At 41.3% G+C, this 8,020-nt stretch overlaps 2 annotated features.

Moving 5' to 3' along the window:
• Nucleotides 1,552–1,696: an enhancer, noted in NCBI's record as "145 bp enhancer 108 fragment used in the MPRA reporter construct; PK_construct_2063". NCBI's record gives its function as "activates an SV40 promoter by MPRA in HepG2 cells {active_cell/tissue: HepG2}" and the evidence as "EXISTENCE:reporter gene assay evidence [ECO:0000049][PMID:23512712]".
• Nucleotides 1,617–1,630: a transcriptional cis regulatory region, noted in NCBI's record as "HNF4 motif; enhancer activity is reduced when this motif is scrambled". NCBI's record gives its function as "necessary for full MPRA enhancer 108 activity {active_cell/tissue: HepG2}" and the evidence as "EXISTENCE:site-directed mutagenesis evidence [ECO:0005528][PMID:23512712]".

An 8,020-nucleotide genomic window follows, 5' to 3' on the forward strand; every position in this document is an offset into this window, starting at 1 on the left:
TGGAAAGGAAGTGAGTGAATGGGGCTAATGGCTTAGAGTGGCAATGGTGATCTATATCGCAAAAAGGGGAGAGAAGGTAGGCCAGGGGACTAAGCAGAGAGAAGCCATGTGGGCTGTATTGGAAGAGGGAATTTTGGATTTTACAAGTTAGAGGCTCTTGGGGATTGCCGGAGACTTATGGGTTGGGGGAGAATTGGCAGAGAAGGAGGTAGAGGCTTTGAGGGCTCTTGATTAGAACCCGTGAGGGAGAGGGAAGTATAGATTCGAATCCTCTTTAATTCCTATTTGGCAGCTGGACTGGTACTCTTTAAACATAGAGATGAGACCACAGGAGATCAGCATGTATTTGGGTCTCATAAATAAAAGTAGAGACTTGACTGCCCCCTGGTATAACTTGTCCCTTTGTTCTGAGAAAGCGATCCAAATGATGCAAAGACCATTGATTCAAAGAAACACGGATGAGAAGCCATAGCTCTAAGAAGCAAAACTCTCCAGTGGGACATTGGAAATGTGCTTTCTGTGATTTACCCTGAGATGCTTAAAGGGTTTGTTTTAGCAGCAGCGCCATCTTTCTCTGTATTTGTATTAGATGGAGCTTATCTCTCCAAACCAACAAAACTCTGTTTTTTGAAACAACAGAAACAAACTGTTTCTTTCATAGAAGTTCCTCTTTCTACACACACACGCACGCACGCACGCACGCACACAAATGAGTTGTAACTTATCACAGCTGTGGAAGCAGAGAATGTCCAGGGCAGCTTGAAAGTTAAGGAAAGATCTCAAGGACCATTGATTTAGGAAAACTAACTCCAGGGGCATTCATTTCACCAGCCACTTTCTCCTTCCCCCCAACAGGTGAGAGAAGAAGTTTAAGTTCTGCTTACAAATGAGGTGAGAGTTCATTTAATCTATTCACCATGACCAAAGTTACAAAGGGCTCTCTGGTTATTAAGCATTCAGTTATTTTTTCTTGTTTTCAAAAATTGATTTTTTTTTCAGTCTAAGAAAGTAAATAAAGCTTATTTCTTTCAATCTTTCAAAATATTACAATGAGATTATTTGAGCCTCTGTTCTGGTAAAATCATCACTTTTTCAAAGATGATTTCTTGCTGTTGTCTCATTATTTACATGGTCAGAGAGGTTACTTAAAGAGTACCGCTTTAAAATCTGGAGCATTGAGAGAGAACCACAAACAGCCCTATACCATGAAAAATCCTATTTATGTGGGAGGGAAATTTTCTTAAACGTCAGTTTTTAAATCAGTTTGGGACATTAAATCTCTCCACCTCCCACTCTCTCCTCCCTCACTGACTTCTGAGGAACAACAACCACCAAGAAAAAAAAAAAAAAAAAACCACTGTGTTTTGAATTCCATTATGTTTCCAAACTTCCAAGTCAGAGGAAATTATTTAAAATGACTTACCCCACACAAATACACATAAGGAGGGAGGGAAAAACAAATTGCCAGCTCACAAGATTGTTTCTCTACTAACCACCCGCTTTTGCTGACCTGACAAATTAAAAGTATGTAATTTCCTCACGGCATTTCCGACATATTTTAGTGATATTTTGTAAGAGTTAAGAGAGTTCTGTTTGCTCTTTTTACTCAAGCCTCTTGGACTTTGGTCCTCTGAACAGGATCCTAAGCTTGGAAACTCTCCAAGTGACAGAAAATTGGCAAGTTCTTCATCGTTGATTCCTTACTGGCTCTTTGGAGAGGAAAGGAGTTCTGCTCAGGATTTGGCTGAGCCCTTTGCTTGGCACCCCAGCCAGTAACTCAAAAGTTCAAGGAACTTGACAGACAGAGGCTGTTTTTCTGGTGAGAGATTTGAACATGCCCAGTTGAGTCTGTCATCGCACGTCTGCATCTTGTCTCCTTCCAGAGGAGGCTTATTTCTGACCAGGCTTGTGATGGATGTATTCTATGCGGGAAGACTTTTGCCTGCCCCTGTGGCATTTACCCTGGATCAGGGTGAGCCCTGAATCTCTCTATTGCCTCAATCCATACAGCCTCACTGTGCCAAGTGGAAGCAGTGGCAGTGTGTGTATGTGTGTGTGTTATTCAAACAGTTAAAAAAAAAAAAAAGACAGAAGGCTTAGGCAGATTTCCAGAAAACAGACTGTGTCAGTCTAGACTAGTAAAACCCAGCCAGTTTAATTTCTGAATTTGTGGTTATTATTTCTGAATTTATTTTGTATTTAACCTACTTCCCCCTTGCCGCATCCCCACAAAAAAAGAGTAAAAAGGTGAGAAAAATGACCAACCAGTTTCAACCACTATCCTGGCATCATGAAAGTTAAAATTCCAAAGATTAGAGATTATATATTGCTCCTATGAAAAATAACCTTTGTGTGAATCTTTAAAGATTCCTACTTTTTAAAAAAATAGCAAAAGCAGCATATGTTATTGTTGAAACTTCAGAAAAAAAATAAGCGAAAACAAGAAAATTGAAACCATGTATAATTTCACCATCTAGACATAAGATTACATGGTTTTGTTAAGTAAGAATCGGCCTTGAGTTAGGTAGAACGGAGTTCAAATTGTGGGCCTACCTGTGTGATTCAGAGCAAGTTAACCTCACTGAGCATTGAACTTCTCTCCATAAAGTGAGACATAGCTATAGGGGTGTGGAGGGTTGCAGTAAAATTCTGGACACAAAAGTAATTGCTGATTGATAATATCTGTATTGTATCCCCTAAACTACTGATCATATTTCATTATTAATTTCATACTACCTGCAGTTTCAGAAAATGAGCTCATTAAATTTTTCTCACATTCCTTTCTTTGTTATATTGCCATGACACAAATTTACAGCTTCAGTCTTCTGCTTTATTGTTTCTATTGCCTATACTTGTCTGGAGTAAGATGTACACAGAGCCATATTTTTATAGTGAGTAAGCCTGATTTCAGTGCTTTATTATTTTTTGGCAGTGAATGATGTTGCAGCAAGTCTGAAACCAACTTGATTTTCTTCCTTCTAGGTAATTTATCTTGCCTGGCAGGTGCCTGAAGATTTTCTTCAAGTTCAATACTGTACATAGGGTAAACTTTGATATTAACTGAATTGGAATGTTCCTGGAACATGGTTCAATTTTATCTGCAGTTTCAGTGATATCTTAAAATTCAGATAATTCTCTTATATCTTTGAATATATCTTCTATTTTGTGGTTTTTCAATTCAGATACATCAATTCTTCTTATATTGGATTATGTTTATCTACCACATATATTGTCTCCTATTTAATTTTTTTATTTGCGATATTGTCAGTAATTTAATATTCACCAGTTTTTATTGTTTTAATTTTATATTAGCTCTATAATGTTGTATTTTATAAGAAATTCTTTTTAAAATCTCATTTTCTTGTTGCCTTACTGATTTGATATTTTTATTCCAATTTACTCTAGCAAGAAATGAGTGTGATTAATATGCTTCTATTGGCTTAAGTTAAATTTTTAGGGGCGGGTGTGTTGGCTCACACCTGTAATCCTAGCACCTTGGGAGGCCGAGGTAGGTGGATCACCTGAGGTCAGGAGTTCAAGACCAACCTGGCCAACATGATGAAACCCCATCTCTATTAAATATACAAAAATTAGCCAGGTGTGGTGGTGCGTGCCTGTAATCCCACCGACTTGGGAGGCTGAGGAAGGAGAATCGCTTGACCTGGGAGGTAGAGGTTGCAGTGAGCCGAGATCATGCCACTGCACTCCAGCCTGCATGACGGGAGTAAGACTCCACCTCAAAAAAAAAAAAAAAAGTGTTAGCTAGGTTAGGCTTTGTGTCTTCTGCATACTATAATCCCTTTTTTTTTTTATTTTCTTCTGCTCAGTGGTTTTTTTTTTTTTTGGTCAAAAAGTTATTTTATTGTATTATTTTATTTATTATTAATCAAACTTTTTATTTTGAGATAATTTAGATTCACATGTGGTTGTAAAAAGTAATACAGAGAAATTCTGTGTATCCTTTGTCAATTTCCCTCAATGATAACATCTTGTAAAACTGTAATACGACATTAAGACTAGCATATTGACATTGATACAAATCTTACTCAGATTTTCTCCATTTTACTTGGGCTTATGTGTGTGTCTATGTCTGTGCATGTGTGTGTTTGTATTTAGCACTATGCAATTTTTATTGCCTGTGTAGGCTGGCATATTTACCACCAAAGTCAAAATACAGAATGGCTTCACCACCATGAGGATACAGTAGGTTGTCCTTTGTAACCATAATTGACTATTTTGGACATTTTATATAAATGGAATAATGTAATATATGGTCCTTTGTGACTGGCCTCTTCCATTTAGCATAATGTTCCAGGGTTCATCTCTATTGTAGCACTTTCCACTGCTTCATTCCTTTTTATTGCTGAATAACATTTCACTTTATTGATATACCATATTTTGTTTATTTATTCATTAGTTAATGGACATTTGAGTTGTTTCCACTTTTTGGCTATTATGAGTAATACTAATGCGAACATTCATGTACAAGTTTTGGTGTGGTCCTATGTTTTCATTTCTTTTGGGTTGATACCTACGAGTAGTGCCGCTGGGTGATACGGTAACTCTATGTTTAACTCTTTGAGGAACTGACAGAGTGTGTTCTAAAGTGGCTGCACCACCTCACATCCTCACTCGCAGTGTATGAAGCTTCCAATTTCTCCACATTATCTGTTTGTTGTTCTTTTTTGAGACAGGGTCTCATTCTGTCACTCAGGCTGGAGTGCAGTGGTGCGATCTCGGCTCACTGTAACTTCTGCCTCCCAGGTTCAAATGATTTTCTTACCTCAGCCTCCTGAGCAGCTGGGACTACAGGTACACCCCCACACCTGGCTAATTTTTGTATTTTTAGTAGAGACGGGGTTTTAGCATGTTGGTCAGACTGGTCTTTAATTCCTGGCCTCAAGTGATCCTCCTGCCTGGGCCTCACAAAGTGTTGGGATTACAGGCATGAGCCGCTGTGCCCAGCCATCTGTTTTTCTGAATAGAGACATCCTAGTGTTTGTGAAGAGGTAGCTGGCATAGTTGTTGTTGTTGTTTTTAATGTAGAGTCTTTCTCTGCTATATCTCATGTAGTTTTGATTTGCATTTCCCTGGCTAATGATGTTGAGGACCTTTTCGTGTGTTCATTAGCCATTTTTATATCTTCTTTGTCCAAATGTGTGTTTGATTTTTTACTCATTTTAAACTGGGTTACTTCCTTATTATTGAGTTGTAAGAGTTCTTTATATTGTCTTTCCATAAGTCCCTTATCAGATATGTCATTTAAAAATAATGTCTCCAGTTCTGAAGATTGTCTTTTCACTTACTTGATGGTGACCTTTGAAGCATAAAAGTTTTAAATTTTAATGAAGTCCAATTTATCTATTTTTTCTTTTGTTGCCTGATCTCCTGCAGCTCTCACGCTCTGTGGAGTCTACCACTGCTTTCAGCAGCCTCCAAACTATGTCCAAACTATGCCACTGCCCCCATCAATGCTTGGGTTACTAACAAGCTCTACATTTTCCCCTTCCATCCCGAGGGAGGCACTGGGAGTTGGCTGGCTTCCTCCTGATTTTGTTGCACTGGGGAGGGGATGGGGCAAGGGCAAGTGAAAACACCACAAAATTTTCTACTGTTTAGAGTGTGACTTCTTCTTGGTTAGGAATTCTCTTGGTTGCTGCAGATCCTTAACTGGTTTCTATAATTCCCACAAAGCTACTTTGGTTCCTATATCATTGCATGCATAATGTTTCCATGGGCAAGAGCCTGTAGCTTCCTTCTTGGCCATCTTGCTAACCTCATGACCCTATTTTTGCAATGTTGAGGTCTCTCACAGCTATGTGTGTTGCTGGCCATTGCACTGGGCCATTCTGCTCCACCCGATGTGGCTGGAAGTGCAGCATCTGGGGAGGGGGGTGCTTGATTAGGCTGCAATAGCTCATTCCAACCAACAGGCAAGGAATGTGCCATTGTTGGTTAGAAGATCAGCGGGGCTGTTGACCAGAGCGCTTATAGGTGACCTCTCCATGTGGCTTGAGTCTGTCACAGCATGGTGGCTGGATTCTGGGAGCCAGAATTCCAGGAGCGAGCATTCTAAGAGGAAAAAATGAGGAGCTGTCATACAAAAAAAGGTAAATATAATTATTTTTAAGAGATAGAGTTGGGAGGTCCTAGGCCAGCCCTTACATGTCTGCAACTGGTATGTCTCACTGTGGACCACCCATGAAACCCCAAAGCCTCTCAGAATGTAGTATGAAAGCCACTGCCTGAGTTAAGACCTCTAGATTTAGATGTCATTCAGATTTCTCACACAAAGGTGGGAATGCAGTAAGGTCACACTAAAGCCACCTGTAGTTTAGTCCCTCTGTGCAGCACTTCTGAAACCATGGCTTCACTTCCTGTGGCCATGATAGCTGAGGATGACTTGGTATTTGTGAACACCCTCTTCTTCCACTCGCTCTGTGCCCCAGCCTTTCCCAGGAGTTCCCACGGGGCTCCCCGCTGCCCTGGGTCCTCTCCCACTTGTGAGTGGGCCCCACTGAGCCAGTGGAGTCACCTCTGCTGTTGTATCCTTTTCCTCTCATACTTTGTACCTCAGACCTTGTAGGAAGTGGGAACAAACATTTTCCATGTCCATTTTTCTCTATTGTGAAGGCCACAGGGTCGGGCTGGTTTGCACTCTTTTCTCTTTAAAAGCAGAGCTTTTGCTTGTTCATTGGTTTTTAAGGGCCTTGCTTTTCATCATGGCTCTGCTTCCTTAGACTTTGGCACAAAACCCGAAGGGGCTGAGCAGGAAACATACCTGACTCCTCCTTCCCCGGGATACCCTTGAGAGCCTTTTCCTTCCGCTCTCAACTGTTGACCTCACACCAAGCTTGTACTTCTTGTACCTCTATCCCTCCACCCTTTCCCTTCATAATTTCCTTCCCAATCTTCCTTCCCTATGAACAATGGCCTTTATTTGACCAGCAGCTCAAGGGGCTTAGACTTTCCAAATAGATCTCCGCACCAGCTGACCCTATGAGATGCTCCCGTGAAACCCCCTGGGCTTTAATGAGCAATGATCAGGGCAGCAGGTCCCTGCTGGTCCCTTGACCATGCTCAGGCAGATCTGAACTTCCTGGGCCTGAGCAGTGAGGCCCAGCTCTGGAACCCTGTTACACTGTGATGAGTGAAAGGAAGCTAGAGAGAGTCGTTGGCACTCCTGAGAACAGAAGCTAGGCAGCCAGATACCCATCTGATAATGGGTTGTATCCTGGCTTACTGGGAAGAGAAGTTTATTGTAGACTCTACTTGCTAGGTGTCCACTCAAATAAAGGCAAAAGAGATGTTTACAGCCCTTGCCTCTTGAAATGGAAGAGTCACCTAGTTATTCTGTCTCTAAAACCCTATTATCTCTTGTGTTCTTGAAAACCTTGGCTTCATTTCCTAATTCCAAATTCCTCACATTCATCTCAGATCCTCCTTACCTATACATGCCCCTTGGACCTCATTTTCTGGCAAACTACCCTGGGCTCACCAGCTTCGGCTCCAGTTTTCATAGCCATCTCTCCTTCATCACTGACTGTTTGGCACCTATCCCAGCCAGGGTGAGCTTCTACTGCTGCAGAATCAGAAAGGAAAGGGGACATTTTACAGCATGGAGACTATGATGATTAATATTGACTATCAACTTGATTGGATTGAAGGATGCAAATTATTGTTCCTGGGTGTGTCGGTGGAGGTGTTAGCAAAGGAGATTAACCTTTGAGTCAGTGGACTGGGAGAGGCAGACCCACCTGCAATCTGGGTAGGCACCATCTAGTCAGCTGCCAGTGTAGCTAGAATAAAACAGGCAGAAGAACATGGAAGGACTAGACTGGGTGAGTCTTCTGACCTTCATCTTTCTCCCGTGCTGGATGCTTCCTGCCCTCGAACATCGGACTTCAAGTTCTTTAGCCTTTGGGCTCTTGGGCTTACACCAGTGGTTTGCCAGGGGCTCTTGGGCCTTCAGCCATAGACTAAAGGCTGCACTGTAGGCTTCCTTACTTTTGAGGTTTTG

Source organism: Homo sapiens, chromosome 8 (genome assembly GCF_000001405.40).
Source record: "Homo sapiens chromosome 8, GRCh38.p14 Primary Assembly".
Classification (NCBI taxonomy): domain Eukaryota; kingdom Metazoa; phylum Chordata; class Mammalia; order Primates; family Hominidae; genus Homo; species Homo sapiens.